At 37.5% G+C, this 19,022-nt stretch overlaps 1 protein-coding gene across 2 annotated transcripts in view; it reads right to left on the bottom strand.

Annotated features, from left to right (window-relative positions):
* Positions 1-19,022, bottom strand: part of LOC112268307 (uncharacterized) — a 106,617-nt gene that overhangs the window by 59,439 nt on the left and 28,156 nt on the right. Inside the window, exon 3 of one of the 2 annotated variants that reach the window (XM_047442705.1) lies at positions 5,318-5,362. The exons of the other annotated variant lie outside the window; for it this stretch is intronic. Within the exon in view, the coding sequence (XP_047298661.1) occupies positions 5,318-5,362 (45 nt within the window). The remainder of the gene's footprint in view (positions 1-5,317; positions 5,363-19,022) is intronic. 2 annotated transcript variants of the gene reach the window in all.

Raw genomic sequence — 19,022 nt, 5'->3', positions numbered from 1 at the left:
AAAACACATGAAAAAATGCTCACCATCACTGGCCATCAGAGAAATGCAAATCAAAACCACAATGAGATATCATCTCACACCAGTTAGAATGGCAATCATTAAAAAGTCAGGAAACAACAGGTGCTGGAGAGGATGTGGAGAAATAGGAACACTTTTACACTGTTGGTGGGACTGTAAAGTAGTTCAACCATTGTGGAAGTCACTGTGGTGATTCCTCAGGGATCTAGAACTAGAAATACCATTTGACCCAGCCATCCCATTACTGGGTATAGACCCAAAGGACTATAAATCATGCCGCTATGAAGACACATGCACACGTATGTTTATTGCGGCACTATTCACAATAGCAAAGACTTGGAACCAAGCCAAATGTCCAACAATGATAGACTGGATTAAGAAAATGTGGCACATATACACCATGGAATACTATGCAGCCATAAAAAATGATGACTTCATGTCCTTTGTAGGGACATGGTTGAAATTGGAAATCATCATTCTCAGTAAACTATCGCAAGAACAAAAAACCAAACACCGCATATTCTTACTCATAGGTGGGAATTGAACAATGAGAAAACATAGACACAGGAAGGGGAACATCACACTCTGGGGACTGTTGTGGGGTGGGGGCAGAGGGGAGGGATAGCATTGGGAGATACACCTAATGCTAGATGATGAGTTAGTGGGTGCAGCGCACCAGCATGTCACATGTATACATATGTAACTAACCTGCACATTGTGCACATGTACCCTGAAACTTAAAGTATAATAATAAAAAAAAGAATGAAAACTAAATGCTACAAATCAAATGTAATAGAAATGAAGAATGGCTTTGATGGGCTCACCAATAGACTATTAGGCTGAGCATGGCCAAGGAAAAAGAAAATCAGTGAGTTTAAAGAAATGTTAATAGAACCCTCCTAAGCTGAAATGCAACAAGAAAAAAAATGGAAAGACATAACAATATCCAAGAAATGTGGGACAATTAGAAAAGGTGTAACATAACTTTATGTAGTGTAGCATAACATTACATAAAGATGTAATGACAATACCAGAAGAAGAAGAAAGAGAAAAATGAAGAGAAGAAAAATTTGAAGCAATAATGACTGAGAATTTCCCAAAGGTAATGATAGACACCAAACCACAGATCTAGGAAGCTCAAAGAACTCCAAGAAGAATAAATACCCAAAACTCCATACCTAGGCATATCATATTCAAACTGCAGAAAATCAAAGACAAAGAAAAAATATTGAAAGGAGCTTTAGAGGGGGAAGAAAACTTAAATTTAGAGTAGCAAGGATAAGAATTACATTGGACTTCTCAGAGCCATGCCAGAAGGAAGGTAGTGAAGCAAAAATTTAAAGTATCAAAGGTAGAAAAGCCCCAATCTAGAAATTTGTGTCCAGTGAAATTATCCTTCAAAAGTTAAAAACTTAAAGAAGAATGGTGAACTGGGAAGATTCAAGCCATCTTTCCCCTATAAAACACATTAAAAAGAAACTACTAAAATCTATATAACTGTATAGGAGTTCTGGAAATCAGTCAGAGATCAATAGAAACCAAGCAAATGCCCAGTGAAGAAAAAGTCACATTCAAAAAGCTAGGAAATTTCATGACATTGTTACTTGCCTTTGACCCACACCTTGCTGGTGTTACATGCTTTTGGGGAAGAGGTGGCTCAGTCCCCAGCTCTCCTTCAAACCAGAGAGAGAAGAGTAGACCTAATTTTCCATGTTCTAACCTGTCTGAGGGCAACCTGACGGATTGATTTCTGTCACCTAAAATGGAGCTTAGATGGCCAAAATTGATACGGCCCAGATCTCAAGCTAAGAAAAGTCACGAGAAGCAGTGAGTACAGCTCATGAAAACCACAGGGGGACTATAGACCCATAGACCCCAAGGGCAGGAGATTATTGGTAGGGGAATACAATTTAACTGCCATGTCCCCAAAAAGAAGCAGCAGTGAGACTCGTAGGGAAACTAAGACACATAAAATTTGATTATATGTGGAGAAATTGGAGAAAAAGAGCTCAGGGGAAATACAGGCTGAGAAAAGGCCTGCAAAGGCTGGGATTGCCTGGGCCAATCCCAAGGACAAAAATGTACCCTGCTAAGTAATAAAAGTCTATCCCTGCAAGGAGCCATTCTGCAAAGACTGGAAAAAGTGGTTGGGATTTTTTTTTTTTTCAAATGCCTAATTTTCGAAAAATATATAGCAAGTCATAGAAAAAAACACAAAAGCATAGTCTATTTATAGAAACAAAATAAATCTACAGAAATCGTCCAAAAAGAGACATTAGGCATCAAATGTACTAGATAAAGACTTTAACACACTTCCTTAAATATGTGAAAAGAGGCCGGGCGCGGTGGCTCACGCCTGTAATCCTAGCACTTTGGGAGGCCGAGACGGGCGGATCATGAGGTCAGGAGATCCAGACCATCTTGGCTAACACGGTGAAACCCCGTTTCTACTAAAAATACAAAAAATTAGCCGGGCGTGTTGGCGGGCGCCTGTAGTCCCAGCTACTTGGGAGGCTGAGGCAGGAGAATGGCATGAACCTGGGAGGCGGAGCTTGCAGTGAGCCGAGATCGCGCCACTGCACTCCAACCTGGGAGACACAGCGAGACTCCGTCTCAAAAAAAAAAAAAAAAAAAAAAAATATGTGAAAAGAACTCATTCTCAGCAAACTATCGCCAGGACAAAAAACCAAACACCGCATGTTCTCACTCATAGGTGGGAATTGAACAATGAGAACACATGGACACAGGAAGGGGAACATCACACTCCAGGGACTGTTGTGGGGTGGGACGGGGGGCAGAGGGATAGCATTAGGAGATATACCTAATGCTAAATGACGAGTTAATGGGTGCAGCACACCAACATGGCACATGTATACATATGTAACAAACCTGCACATTGTGCAATGTACCCTAAAACTTAAAGTATAATAATAATAAATTTTTTAAAAAAAAAGAAAACAGTATGTGAGCAAAATTTTAAAAATCACTGAAAGGTAGAAATTATTTTTTTAAATTGTGGGCTAAAAAATACAAAAACTGCATTGAAATACTTGCTAGAGTGGTTCAACATCAGACTCTAATAGACAGAAGAAAGAATCAGAGAACTTGGAGACAGGTCATTTAAAGTTGTCAAATCTGAGGAGCAAAAATTTTAAAAGAATGAAGAAAAGTGAACAGAGTCTAATGGATTAATGAGACACCATGAAGGAGACAAAAATAAATAAATAAATAAAACACCTTATAAAATTTCCAGAAGAAGAGAAAGGAAAAGGGTCAAGGAGATTATTTGAAGAAATAATGTCCAAAGCCCTCCCAAATTTGAGGAAAGAAATGAATATGTAAATATAAGAAGTTCAACAAATTCCAAGTAGGATTTAGCCAAAGAGACTCACACCAAGACAATGACATTATTTTCAAATTGTTGGATGAGAAAAATCTTGAAAGGAGGAAGAGAAAAGCAATTCATCACATACAAGGTATTCTCAATAAGATCATCAGTTTGTTTCTCAGCAGAAACCTTCAAGACCAGAAGACAGAAAATTCATACATTTAAAGTGCTGAAAGAAAAAAAAAGTACCCTGAAAATTGAGAATTCTATATCTGGCAAAACTGTCCTTCAAGATTGACAGTGATAGGCCAAAGATGGCCAACTAGACACAGCCAGTAGGAACATCTACCACTGAGAGACTGGAACATCAGGAAGACTGGCAAATTCCAAGCAGATCTTCAGAGGGAAGGCATTAAGAGTAGATGGAGGGAAGGAGTAGATGCTGGGCTGAACGGGTGGTGGGGGGGGTATCTGGAAACCCTGCAAGGGAATACAAAGCACTGGGACTCATTCCTTATGGGGATGAGCAATGGGGGGAACAGGCAAGAAGCAGCCTGCTCCTATCATGGACCTCTGAAATCTGGGCAGCAGGAAATGCCATGACCCCCATGGACACTTGAGTTGGCAGGGAGTACTTCTCAGACAGGTGCTAGGACCTGGTCTCCAGCTTGCACAGAGCCCAGAGGATTTGGTGTGGGAATATCTGCATGGGAGCAATGCCAGGGATGCCCATCCTCCAAGGCTTCCCATGCTTTTCTAGGATACTTTGGCCATAGGATCAATGTCAGACCTGGACAGAACAGGGCTATCTTGCTTGTGGAATGAGGCCAGTTCAATCTGAGTGCCCACCTGTCTGTTGCCATCTCCCAGGACCCTAGGCTGACTGCGCCTGCTGGCAGTGCAGCCTTGGATGCCCAACCAGGGTGCTTCCTGGGGACCCTCATTATATCTCTTTCACCAGCAAACCGTGCCTCACCACGAGAGGGCCCCAGCAGAGCATCCACTGACAGAGTACACCAGCCCCCCACACACCCTCCCCATTACAGCCTTCCCCACACCACTTTGCCAGCACACTCTCGCTCATGGCCACCTGCAACTGCTTTGCTGGCGCATATGTGCAAGTGGACGTCACCTCCTTTCCTCTGCCAGTGTGGAAGTGTGCTGCCAGTGTGAGTGCAACCCATTGCCCCACCACCACCACTAATGTTTCAGCATTCAGCTGTGCAACAATTTCATGTGAATGTGCACACACACTGGCGATCACAACTCTCCCATGCTGCCACCACAGCTGGTATGAATAAGTGCTGAATGCCGGCAGCCCCATACCCTGACACTGCCAACAGTGCAAATGTACACATGGAGGCCAGCAGCCCCACATCCACCAGTGCTCCACTGCCACTGCCACCAGCATAAGTGCAAGCACAGGCACTGGCAACCTTTCCCCTGCCTGTGGCCCACTGCCAGCAGGAGTATGCACAGGAATGCTTCAACCTCGCTTCTGCCAGCATCCCACCCCAGCCAATGTACATGCACTCCACCATGCTGCCACAGCTGCTGGCACATTGAAGCAGCCACAGCTTGTGCTGTCACTGCCCCAATGAAGTGTTTTGGTTGGCACCAGCCTTTAGAGTGTTGTGGCCATTGGGGTGGGAACACCTCAGCCCCTCCAGCACAGCAGGCTTCTAACTGCAAGGAGCTGGAGAAGAAAGCCAGGAGCCTGGTACCTGCCCCTCAGAGTCAGAGCATGCAAATCAGGAGTGCTGAGCTGAGCCTGAGCCCCATAAAATCTTCCAGAAATGAAGACAGTGAAACCGACCTTATACCACAATCAAACTCTCAAGGGCATCAAAGAAGATAACAGCAAAAACACCAAAAGGACAGCAGCTTCAAAGATCAAAAAAAATTAGTCTACACAGATAATAAATAACCAGTGCAAAAACTGTGGCAACTCAAAAACCCAGAGTGTCTTACCTCCAAATGACTGCACCAGTTCCACAGCAGTGGTTCCTAACAAGGCTGAAATGACAAAAATAGAATTCAGAATATGGAGAGGAATGAAGATCATCAACATTCAGAATAAAGTGGAACCCCAATTCAAGGAATCTAAGGAATACAATAAAATGATACAGGAGATAAAAAACAAAATGGCCATTTTAAGAAACAACGAAATTGATCTGATAGAGCTGAAAAACTCCAAGAATTTCAGAATACAATTGCAAGTATTAACAGCAAGAACAGATCAAGCTGAGGAACAAATCTCAGAGCTCGAAGACTGGTTCTACAAAATAACTCAGACAACAACCACCACAACAAAAAGTAAACACAAGAATGAACGAAAGCTCTGAGAAATATGGTATTATGTAGACACCAAATCTATGAATCATTGGTGTCCCTGGGAGAGAGGAAGAAATAGCAAGCAATGTGGGCAACATACTTAAGGATATCATTCAAGAAAATTTACCCAACATTGCTACAGAGGCCAACATTCAAATTCAGAAAATGCAGAGAACCCTTCAAGATACTATACAAGATGACCATCCCCAAGACACATAGATTTTCCAAGGTCAAAATTAAAGAAAACATATTAAAGGCATCCAAAGAGAAGGGACAGGTCACTTACAAAGGGAACCCCGTTAGGAAAACAAAGGACATTTCAGCAAAAACCCTATAAGTCAGAAGAGAATTAGTGCCTATATACAGCATCTTTAATGAAAAGAAATTTCAATCAAGAATATCATATCCAGCCATACTAAGCTTCATAAGCAAAGGAGAAATAGGATCCTTCTCAGACAAGCAAATGCTATGGGAATTTGTTAGCTCCAGACTTGCCTTACCAGAGGCCCTGAAGGGAGTACTAAATATGGAAAGGTAAGACTGTTACCAGCCACCACAAAAACACACTTAAATGCATAGACCATGTACTTGGTCTATGACACTAAGAAGTGACCACACAATCAAGTCTGTATAATAACCAGCTAACGACTTGATGGCAGGACCAAATCCACACATATCAATATTAACGTTGAATGTAAACAGGATAAGTGCTTTAATTAAAAGGCACAGAGTGACAAGTTGGATAAAGAAGGCAAGACCAACAGTATGCTGTCTTCAAGACAGCCATCCACCTGCAATGACACCCATAGGCTCAAAGTAAAGGGATGAAGAAAAATCTACTAAGAAAACAGAAAGAAGTAGGGGTTGCTATTCTACTTTTAGTCAAAACAGACTTAAACCAACAATGGTAAAAAAAAAAAAAAGAAGGGCATTACATAATGGTAAAGGGTTCAATTTAACAAGAAGACCCACCCTTCATAAATATATACACACACAACACAGGAGCACCCAGATTCATAAAGCAAGTTCTTAGAGACCTATGAAGAGACTTAGATAACCACACAATAATAGTAGGAGACTTCAACAACCCACTGACAATATTAGACAGGTCATCAAGGCAGAAAATTAACAAAGATATTTGTGACCTGAACTCGACACTTGACCAAATGGGCCTAACAGACATCTACAGAAATCTTCCCCAAAAAACAACAGAATATACGTTCTTCTCAGAAGCACATGGCACATACTCTAAAGTCAACCACACAATCAGCCATAAAACAATCCTCAGCAAATTCAAAAAACCCCAGTATCTTACCAAACACACTCTTGGACCACAGCACAATAAAAATAGAAACCAATACTAAGAAAATCACTCAAAACTATACAATTACATGGAAATTAACCAACCTGCTCCTGAATGGCTTTTGGGTAAATAATGAAATTAGGGCAGAAATTAACAAATTCTTTGAAACCACTAAGAACAAAGATACAACATTCCTTCTTAACACTTCTTTAGTTTTGTTCAATTTGGGGACACAGCTAAAGCAGTGTTAAGAAGGAAGTTTATAGCACTAAACACCCACATGAAAAAGGTAGAAACATCTCAAATTAACAACCCAACATCACACCTCGAGAAACTACAAAAACAAGCTAAATCCAAAGATAGAAGAAGACAAGAAATAGCCAAAATCAGAGCAGAAGGGAAGGATACTGAGATGCAAAAAAAAAAAAAAAAAAAAAAATCAACGAATCTATGAATTGGTTCATTAAAAGAATAAATAAGATTGATGGACTGATAACTAGACAAATAAACATAATCAGAAATGACAAAGGGCACATTACCACCAAACCCAGAGAAATACAAAAATCCTCAAAGGCTGCCACAAATACCTCTATGTAAACAAACTAGAAAACCTAGACAAAATGGATAAATGTCTGAAAAAAATACAGCTTCTCAAGATTGAACCATGAAGAAATTGAATCCCTGAACAGGCCAATAATGGATTCTAAAACTGAATCAGTAATAAAAAGCCTGCCATCCAGGACCAGGCAGATTCGCAGCTGTATTCTACCAAGTGTATAAAGAAGAGCTGGTACCAGCATTCTTACTGAAACTATTCCAAAAAGTTGAGGAAGTGTGATTCCTCCCTAACTCATTCTTTGAAGCCAGCATTATTCTGACTGCAAAACCTGGCAGAGACACAACAAAAACAACAACAAAAACTTTAGGCCAATGTCCTTGATGAACATATATGCAAAAATCCTTAACAAAATACTACCAAACTGAATCAAGGAGCACATCAAAAAGGTAATCTACCACAATCAAGTAGGCTCTATCCCTGAGATCCAAGGTTGATTCAAGATATACAAATGAATAAATGTGACTAATTACATAAATAGATCTATTTTTAAAGCCACATACTTATCTCACTAAATGAAGAAAAGACTTTTGATAAAATGCAGTATGATTTCATGTTAAAATCCCCAAGGAAGTAGGCATTCAAGGAACATACCTCAAATCAATAAAAGCCATCTATGACATAGCAGTAGCCAAAATCATACTGAATGGGCAGAACTTGGAATAATTCCACTTGAGAACTGGAACAAGACAAGGATGTCCACTATCACCATTCCTATTCAACATAGTACTGGATGTACTAGACAGAGAAATCAGGCAAGAGAAAGGAATAAAAGGCATCCAAATAGAGAGGAAATCAAACAATCTCTGTTTGCAGATAATATAATGCTATACCTAGAATATAATGCTAGATATAATGCTATCCCATAGTCTCTGCCCAAAAGCTGCTTAAGCTGACAAACAACTTGATCTGATATACTATTTCAGCAAAGTTTCAGGATACAAAATTAACATAGAAAAATAAGTAGCATTCCTATACACCAACAACATCCAAGCTGAGAGCCAAATCAAGAATGCAATCTCATTCACAATAGCCACAAAAAGAATAAAATATCTTGGAATACAGCTAACCAGGGAGGTGAAAGAACTATACAATGATAATTATAAAACACTGCTCAAAGAAATCAGAGATGAGACAAACAAATGGAAAAACATTCCATCCATGTTCACAGACAGGATGAGTCAATATCTTTAAAATGTCCATACTTCCCAAAGCAATTTGCAGATTCAATGCTATTTCTATCAAACTACCAACGAAATTCTTCACAGAATTAGAAAAACTATTTTGAAGTTTATACCAAAAGAGAGCCCAAATACCTAAGGCAATCCTAAGCAAAAACAAACAAACAAAACAACAACAACAAACAAAACCAAAGCTGGAGGTATCACGTTACCCAATTTCAAACTATACTACAAGGCTACACTAACCAAAACACAAAACAGCATATTAGAAAAAACAAAACAGACATGGAAAACTGGAACAGAATAGAGAACCCCAAAATAATGCTGCAGACCTACAACCATATAATCTTCGGCAAAGTTGACAAAAACAGGTAATGGGAAAAGGAGTTCCTGTTCAACAAACAGTGCTAGGATAACTGGCCGGCCATATGCAGAAGACTGCAACGGGATGCCTTCCATACACCATATACAAAAATCAACTCAAAATGGATTAAACACTTACATATAAAACTTAAGACTATAAAAATCTTGGAAAACAACCTAGGAAATAACATTCTGGACATAAGGTCTTGTAAAGAATTCATGATGAACATGCCAAAAGCAATAGCAACAAAAACAAAAATTGACAAATGGGATCTAACTAAAGAGCTTCTGCCCAGCTAAAGAAACTATCAACATAGTAAATTGACAACCTGCAGAATAGGAGAAAATATTTGCAAACTATGCATCTAACTAAGGTCTAATATCCAGAATCTACAAGAAACTTAAACAAATTTACAAGTTAAAAAAAACATTAAAAAGTAGCAAAGGTCATGGGCACTTTTCAAAAAAAGATACACACACAGCCAATAAGCTTATGAAAAAGTGCTCAACATTGCTAATCACAAACCTGCCCATGTACCCCTGAACCTAAAATAAAAGTTAAAATAATCATAAATGAAAGAGAAGACATTAGTATCACATATAAAACAAGATTATAAGAGACTATTATGAATAATTATATGCCAAAAATTGGATAACCTAAAAGAAATGGATGAAGTCCTAGCCACATACAACCTACCAAGACTGAATCATGAAGAAATAGAAAACCTGAACAGACCAATAATGAGTAACCAGATTTATTCAGTAACTAAAAGTCTCCCAACAAAGAAAACCCAGTACTGGGTGGCTTCACTGCCTATTTCTACCAAACATATAAAGAAAAACTAACACCAGTTTTCTTCAAACTGTTGCAAAGGTTGTTGAAGAGGACATTCTCCCTAACTCATTCTACAGGGCCAGCATTACCTTGATACCAAAACCAGATAAAGATACAACAGAAAAAGAAAACTATAGGCCAATATTCCTGATGAACATAGCTGGAAAAATTCTCAACAAAAGAGCAAACTGAATCCAACAGGACAAGAAAAAGATAATACATCATTATCAATTGGGATTTAATCCAGGGATGAAAGGATGGTTCAACATACACAAATCAGTAAACATGATAAAACACATCAACACAATTAAGAACAAAAGCCATATGATTATCTCATCAGGTACAGAAAAAAGCATTTGATAAAATTCATCATTCCTACATGATAAAAACTCTCAACAATGTAGGCATAGCAGGAGCATACCCTAACATAATGAAGGCATATATGAAAAATCCACAGCTAACATCACACCAGATGGGGAAAAGCTAAAAATATTTCCTATAAAAACTAGAATAATACAAGGATACCAACTTTTACTGCTCTCACTTAACATAGCACTGGAAATTCTAGGCAGAGCAATGAGGCAAGAGAAAGAAATAAAAGGCATTTGAACTGGAAAAGATGAAGTCAAAAATTTCCTCTTTTCAGATGACATGACTTTATATTTAGAAAACCTTAAAGAGTTTACCAAAGAATTCTTAGAACTGATAAACTCAGTAAAGTTGCAGAATACAAAATCAACATACAAAAATCAGCAGTGTATCTATATAGCTATTATGAATTAGCTGAAAAAATAAATCAAGAAGAAAATCCTATTTATACTAGCTACAAAAAAATACCTAGGAATAAATGTAACCAAGGAGGTAAAGGACCTCTTCAAGGAAACTGCAAAATACCAATGAAGCAAAATGGAAGAGGACACCAACTAGTGAAAAGATCATCCCATGCTCATGAATAAGAGTTAATATTGTTAAAATAATTATACTACCCAAAGCAATCTACAGATTCAATACAGTCCCTATCAAAATATCAATGACATTCTTCACAGAAATGGAAAAAAATCAATCCCAATATTCTTATAGCAGCAAAAAAGGGCCCAAATAGCCAAAGCAATCATGTGCAAAAATAACAAAGCAGGAGGTATCACACTACTAAACTTGAAAATATATTACACAGCTATGGTAACCAAAACAGCATGGTATTGGTTTAAAAACAGTCACATAGACCAATGGAACAGAATAGAGAACCCAGAAATAAAACCACATATTTGCAGCCAACTGATCTTCAACCAAGTCAACAAGAACTTACACTGAGGGAAAGACACCCTCGTTAATAAAAGTTGCTAGAAAAATTGCAAAGCCACATGCAGAATAAAACTGGGCAAAGAACATGAATAGACATTTCTTAAAAGAATATATAAACAGGTATATATCCAACAGGTATATAAAAAAATTCTCAACATCACTAATCATTAGAGAAATGCAAATCAAAACCACAATAAGATATTATTTTACCCCAGTCAGAATGGCTATTATTAAAAATACAAAAAAATCATATGCTGTCAAGGATGCAGAGAAAACAGAACTCTTATACACTGTCGGTGGGAATGTAAATTAGTACAGCTGCTGTGGAAAGAAGTAGAGAGACATCTCAAAAAATAAAAGTAAAATTACCATTAAATCCCACTACTGTGTATCTATTCGAAGGGAAAGAAATATATCAAATAATACATGCACTCCATCAATATGTCCATCAATGGATGAATGGATAAAGAAAATGTGGTATGTGTACATAATGGAATACTATTTAGCTATATGAGAGAATGAAGTCATATCATTTGCAGCAAAGCATGGATGGAACTAGCAGTCATTATCTTAAAAGAAATAAGCCAGGTACAAAAATACAAATATCACATGTTCTCACTCATATATGGGAGCTAAAAAGTTTGATTACATGGAAGTAGAGAGTGAAAAGATAGATAACAGATACTGATGCCTTAGTCCATTTGCATTACTCTACCTGAGGCTAGGTAATTTATTTTAAAAAGTAGGTTTATTGGGTTCCTGGTTCTGCAAGCTGTACAAAAAGCATGGCACTAACATCTGCTTCTAGTGAAAGTTTCAGGGAGTTGCCAATCATGATGCAAGGTGAAGCAGAGCAGGCAACACATGATCAGGGATGAGGAAGAAAGAGAGGGTGGGGAACAGTGTCATACTCTTTTAAACAACCAGATCTCCCATGAACTGATAGAGTAACAACTCAGGCATTACCGTGGGGATGGAACAAAGCCATTCATGAAGGTTCCATCCCCATAACTCAAACACCTCCCATGAGGAACCTCCTCCAACACTGGAGATCAAATTTCAACTTGAGATTGGAAGGGACAGATATCCAAACTATATCTGGGAAGGGTGAATGGGAGAATTGAGGAGGTTGAAGAAAAGTGGGTTAATGAGTACAAACATACAGTTAGATTGAAGAAATATATCCAATATTTGATAGCAGAGTAGGGTGAGTACAGTTAACAAAACTGTATTATACTCACTTGATGGGAACCCTAAACACCCTGAATTGATCACCACACAGTATATATATGTAACAAAATTTCACATGTACCCTATAAATTTGTATAAATTTTTTAAAAGTGTGATTTTCACATAGTGATAGACATATGGACCAGTGACATAGAACTGAGAGTCCTAACAAACCAACACACCTATGGCCATTTTTTTTTTTTTTGACAAAGCTGGGTATATTCAGTGAGTGAAAAAAAAAAAACTCTTTAAAAATGATGCTAGAAAAACTGAATTCGCATATGCAAAATAACGAAGTTGGATCTTTACCCCACAACATATACAAAAATTAACTCAAATGGATCAACGACCCAGATATAATAGATAAAACTGTGAAGCTATTGTTAAAAAAAGATATAAATCTTCATGTCCTTGGGTTTAGCAATGCATTTGTAGAGGACACAAGAAGCACAAACCACAAAGCAGTAAATAGATAAATTGAACTTCATTAAAATTAAATACTTTTATGTATCTAAGCTCATTATTAAGAAAGTGAAAAAGAGACATTATGAAGATGGCTGACTAGATGTGTCTCATGCTCTTTTCACTCACAAATAAAGACCTTACTAACAAATAACCACACTTGAGATAACACTGTAATTCCAGCAAGGAAATGATAAAAACATTCTCAGATATGGAAACTTGGGATGGCAGTGTAGAAAGAGAACCAAATAAAGTGAAAAGACAACCCACAAAATGGTGGGAAATATTTGACAACTTTTATCTAATAAGGGTCTACTGTCTCAGATATATGAACTCCTAAACTCGACAACAAATAGACAAAAACCTAATTTAAAAATGGGAAAAGTACACAGCTAACATCATACTCAATGATTAAAGATTGAAAGCATTTCATGTAAGGTCAGGAATAAGACAAAGATATTCATTCTCACCATTTCTATTCAAAACAGTACTGGAAGTCCGAGACAGAGCTATAGTAATTAAAACAATGTAGTGCTAGCATTAAAACAATGTAGTACTAGCATAAAAACAGACATGCAGACCAATGAAACAAAATAGAAATACCAGAAATAAATCCTCACATATATGGTTAAATTATCTTCCACAAATGCTAAGGCCACTCAGTGGGGAAAAGGAGAGTCTTTTCAAAAAATGGTTCTGGCAAAACTGGATATTTGTTGTAGGAAGTCAGGGACCCAGAATGGAGGGACCTGCTGAAGCCGTGACAGAAGAACATAAATTGTGAAGACTTCATAGACATTTATCACTTCCCCAATCAATACTCTTATAATTTCCTTTGCCTGTCTTTACTTAAATCTCTTAATCCCATCATCTTCATAAACTGAGGATGTATGTTTCCTCAGGACCCTGTGATGATTGCATTAACTGCACAAATTGTTCATAAAGCATGTGTGTTTGAACAGTCTGAAATCTGGGCACCTTGAAAAAAGAACAGGATAACAGCGATGTTCAGGGAACAAGGGAGATAACCATTGGGTCTGACTGCCTGGAGCCGAGCAGGACAGAGCCATATTTCTCTTATTGCCAAAAACGAGTAAGAGAAATATCGCTGAATTATTTCCCCAGTAAGGAATATTAATAATTAACAGCCCTGGGAAAAGAATGCATTCCCAGGAGGAGGCCTCTAAAATGGCTGCTGTAGGGGTGTCTGCCTTATGCAGTCGCCGATAAGGCATGAAACATGCCCTGGCCTCCTGCAGCGCCCCCAGGCTTGCTAGGATTAGGAAATTCCAGCCTGGCGAATTCTAGTCAGACTGATTCTCTGCTCTTGAACCCTGTTAAGATGTTTATCAATGACAATGCATGCACAGCGGGACATGGAACTTCATTAGTAATTCTAGTTTTGCCCTGACCTTGTGATCTCGCCCTGACCTTCTGCCTTATGATCTTTAGTTGCCCTATGAAGCATGTGATCTCTGTGACCCACACCCTGTTCGTACACTCCCTCCCCTTTGAAAATCACTAATAAAAACTTGCTGGTTTTGCAGCTCAGGGGGCATCACGGAACCTGCCAACATGTGATATCGCCCCCAGACACCCAGCTTTAAAATTTCTCTCTTTTGTACTCTTTCCCTTTATTTCTCAGACCAGCCGACACTTAGGGAAAATAGAAAAGAACTTATGTTGAAATATTGGGGGCTGGTTTCCCCCGATAGACATTCACATACAAAAGAACCCTTATCTTATATCATATACAAAAAATAACTCAAAATGGATTAAAGACCTAAATGTAAGACCCCAAAATATAAAACTCCTAGAAGAAAACATAGACCAAATCTTCGTGACATGGGATTTGGAAGTGATTTCATGGCTATGACATGAAATGCACAGGCAACAGAAGCAAAAATTGACAAATGGTAATACATCAAACTTAAAAACTTTTGTGCATCAAAAATTAATATCAACAGAGTGAAAAGGCAACTTATGGAATGGTAGAAAACATTTACAAATTATATATCTGATAAAGGGTTAATACCCAGAATAATAAAGAACTCCTACAACAAAACAACAATGAAACAAACCAAATAATAAATTTAAAATGTGCAAAGAACTTGAATAGACATTTCTCCAAAGGTAATATACAAATGACAAAAAAGCACATGAAAAAATGCTCAATATCATTAATCATTAGGGAAATACAGATTGAACCCACAATGAAATATTATCTTACACCCATTAGAATGGCTACTATAAAATAAAAATCAGAATATAACAAATGTTGGCGAAGATGTAGAGAAATCTGAACCCTTGTGGATTGTTGATGGGATTTTAAAATGGTGCAGCCGATATGGAAAACAATATGGCAGTTCCTAAAAACTTAAAAATAGGGCTTCCACATGATCCAGCAATCCCACTTCTGGGTACATACCAAAGAGAACTGAATGAAAGCAGGAGCTCAAATAGATGCTTGTAGACCAACGTTCGTAGCATCATTATTAACAAAAGCCAAAGGTGGGAGCAACCCAAGCATCCAGTGATGGATGAATGAACAAAATGTGATATATACATACAATGGAATATTATTCATCTTTAAAAAGGAAGAAAATTCTGTAACATACTATGATATGGTTTGGATTTTTGTCGCCACCCAAATCTTATGTTGAATTGTAATCCCCAGTTGTGATGGTTAATACTGAGTGTCAACTTGATTGGGTTGAAGGACTCAAAGTATTGATCCTGGGTGTGTGTGTGAGGGTGTTGACAAAGGAGATTAACATTTGAGTCAGTGGGCTGGGGAAGGCAGACCTACCCTTAATCTGGTGGGCACAATCTAATCAGCTGCCAGCAAATATAAAACAGGCAGAAAACCGTGAAAACGTGAAACTGGCCTAGCTTCTCAGCCTACATCTTCCTCCCAAGCTGGATGCTTTCTGCCCTCAAACATCAGACTCCAAGTTCTTCAGTTTTGGAACTCAGACTGGCTTTCCTTGCTCCTTAACCTGCAGACAGCCTATTGTGTGAATCTTGTGATTGTGTGAGTTAATACTTAATAATAATCTCTCTCTCTCTCTCCATATATATGTGTGTATATATATATATGTTCTATATATATAGTTCTCTCTATATATGTTCTATATATATATATATATATATATATTTATGAATATATATTCAATTACTTCTGTCCCTCTAGATAACCCTGACTAATACACCAGTGTTGGAGGAGGGGCCTAGTGGGAAGTGATCGGATCATGGGGCAGATTTCCCTTTTTCTGTTCCCATGACAGTGAGTGAGTTCTCATGAGATCTTGTTTAAAAGTGTGTACCACCTACCCTTTTGTTCTCTTCCTGATGCTCTGGACATGTAAGATGTAACTCCTTCCTTTTTGCCTTCTGACATGATTGTAAGCTTGCTGAGGCCTCCCCAACCATGCTTCCTGTACAGTCTGTGGAACTGTGAGCCAATTAAACCTTTTTTCTTTATAAATTACCCAGTCTCACATAGTTCTTTATAGCAATGTGAGAATGGACTAATACATACTACTAATGAAAACTTTGATGAACCTTGAGGACATCTGCTAAGTGAAATAAGTCAGTCACGAAAAGACAAATATCACGTGGTTGCACTTATATTACATATTTACAGTAGTCAAATTCATAGAAATAAAAAGTAAAATAGTGCTTTCCGGGGGTTAGGGGAAAGGAGAGTTGGAGAGTTGTTTAATGAATACAGAGTTTCAATTTTGCAAGTGGGAAAAAGTTCTGGAGATCTGTTGCACAAACATGTAAATATACTTAACACTACTGAACTGTATACTTTAAAATGGTTGAAATGGTAAATTTTATGTTATCTGTTTTTACCACAATAAGTGTTGTGTTATAGGTACTTGATTTGGCATGAATGCACAGGCTTTGGCAAAGGAAGGAAATAAGTTGGAAGCAGCTCTTAAGAGCCTATATTTTATAAGAGCCTGTAGTTTACAAAGTATTCAAAGCTTGTTGTTTTTCTGACCGTTCTATTACGTAATTAGTATTTGCTAGTTACTAACATTCAAATTTGACATTTAGAACTAGTGCTTTTGGTGTTTAATGGACCACTTCTTTGATACTAGATGCACACAGGCCTGCACTCTGTGTGCAATACAACAACAGTGCAATGTCATAAACCAAATGGTTGCATTCCAGAAGACAGTCACCTAGAAGTGGATGTAAGTGCCCTCTGAGTAGGGCAGACAGATAAATACTATTATTTTTTGATATCTGAGACTTTGTCAAACAGCTCTTGGTGCACCTGCCTTTGCTTTCTCAAGTATAAGCCAGCTAATAGACATGAGTATGTTCTAAAATTTAAAAAAAGGCAAAGTACTTGAATAGACATATTTCCAAAGAAGATGTATAAATGACCAATAAGCACATTAAAAGAGGCCAACATCGTTAGTAATTAGAGAAATGAAAACCAAAACCACAAGATTCCACCTCACACCTACTGGGATGGCTATAATCAAAAACAAGGAAAATGACAAATATTGGCTAGGATATGAAGAAATTGGAACTCTCATAGATTGCTGGTGGGAATATAAAATGGTGCACCTGTAATGGAAAAACAGTGTGTCTCTTTTCCTCAAAAAATTATAGAGCTACTATATAACCCTGCAGTTCTACTCCTAGGTATACACACAAGAGAAATGTATGAAGACAAGTTCATACAAAAACTTACACGTGAATGTTCATAGTAGCATTCATAATAGCCCAAAAGAAAAAACAATCTGAGCGTCCATCAAAGGATTAATGGATAAACAAAATATGGTACATACATAAAATGGAACGCTATTCAGCCTTAAAAATGAATGAAGTTCTGATATAGGCTGCAGCATGGACGAACCTTGTAAGCATTATTCTATGTGAAATAAGCTACACACACACACACACACACACACACACACACACACACACAACCAAATTATTGTATTATTCCACTCACATGAAGTACCTAGAATAGGCAAATTCATAGAGACAGAAGTTTATAAGATGCTGAAAGGAGGGGGGAATGGGGAATTTTTATTTAATGGGTACAAAGTTTCTGTTTGAGATGATTAGAAAAAAACTCTGGAAACGGATAATGATGGTGTTTGCACAACACCGTGAATGTAGTTAGTGTCACTGAATTGTACACTTATAAATGGTTAAATCGGTAATATATATGTCTGTGTGTATGTATGTATGTGTGTGTATATATATGTATATATATATGTATATATATATATATATATAATCATAATAAAATAATTACAAATAAGAATACTAGGAATAACTTTACCATCACAAATTCAACAACTTAGAAAAAACGGACCAATTTTTCAAAAACCACAAACTATCAAAACTTTAAAAGAGGTGAAATAGGTTATATGAATAATCCTATACCCATTAAAGAAATGCAGTTTATTATTTAAAGTTTTCGGAAAAAGAAATCTCTGGGTCCAGGCAGTTTCACTGGACAATTCTACCAAAAATGTAAAGAAGAATTCACACCAATTTTACACAATTTCTTCCAGAAATAGAAAAGGAGAGAACATTTCCCAACTCATTTTATGAGGTCATTATTACTCTGATACTAAAACCAAAGACAGAACAAAAAAAGAAAACTACAAACCAATATTTCTCATCAAGTCAGATACAAAATTCCTCACCAAAAGTATTAGCAAACTGAATCCCACAATGCATAAAAAAAGAGTTATATGCCATTACCAAATGCGGATCATTCCAAGAATGCAAGTCTGGTTCAACATTTGAAACTAACAAACATAATCCACCAGTCAAGAGATTAAAGAAAGCAAAATGAAATGATCACATCAGCTGATGGAGAAAAAAAAGCATTTAACAAAATTTAACATTCATTCCTGATAAACTCAGAAAACTATGAAGAGAATTTCATAAGCTTGATAAAGGGCATCTTTGAAACATGTACAATTAACATCATACCTAATTGTGAACGACTGAATGCTAATTCTCTAAGACTGGGAAAAGGCACACATGTCCACTCTCACAACTCT

Source organism: Homo sapiens, chromosome X (genome assembly GCF_000001405.40).
Source record: "Homo sapiens chromosome X, GRCh38.p14 Primary Assembly".
Lineage (NCBI taxonomy): Eukaryota > Metazoa > Chordata > Mammalia > Primates > Hominidae > Homo > Homo sapiens.
This window is presented reverse-complemented; position numbering and strand designations above follow the sequence as displayed.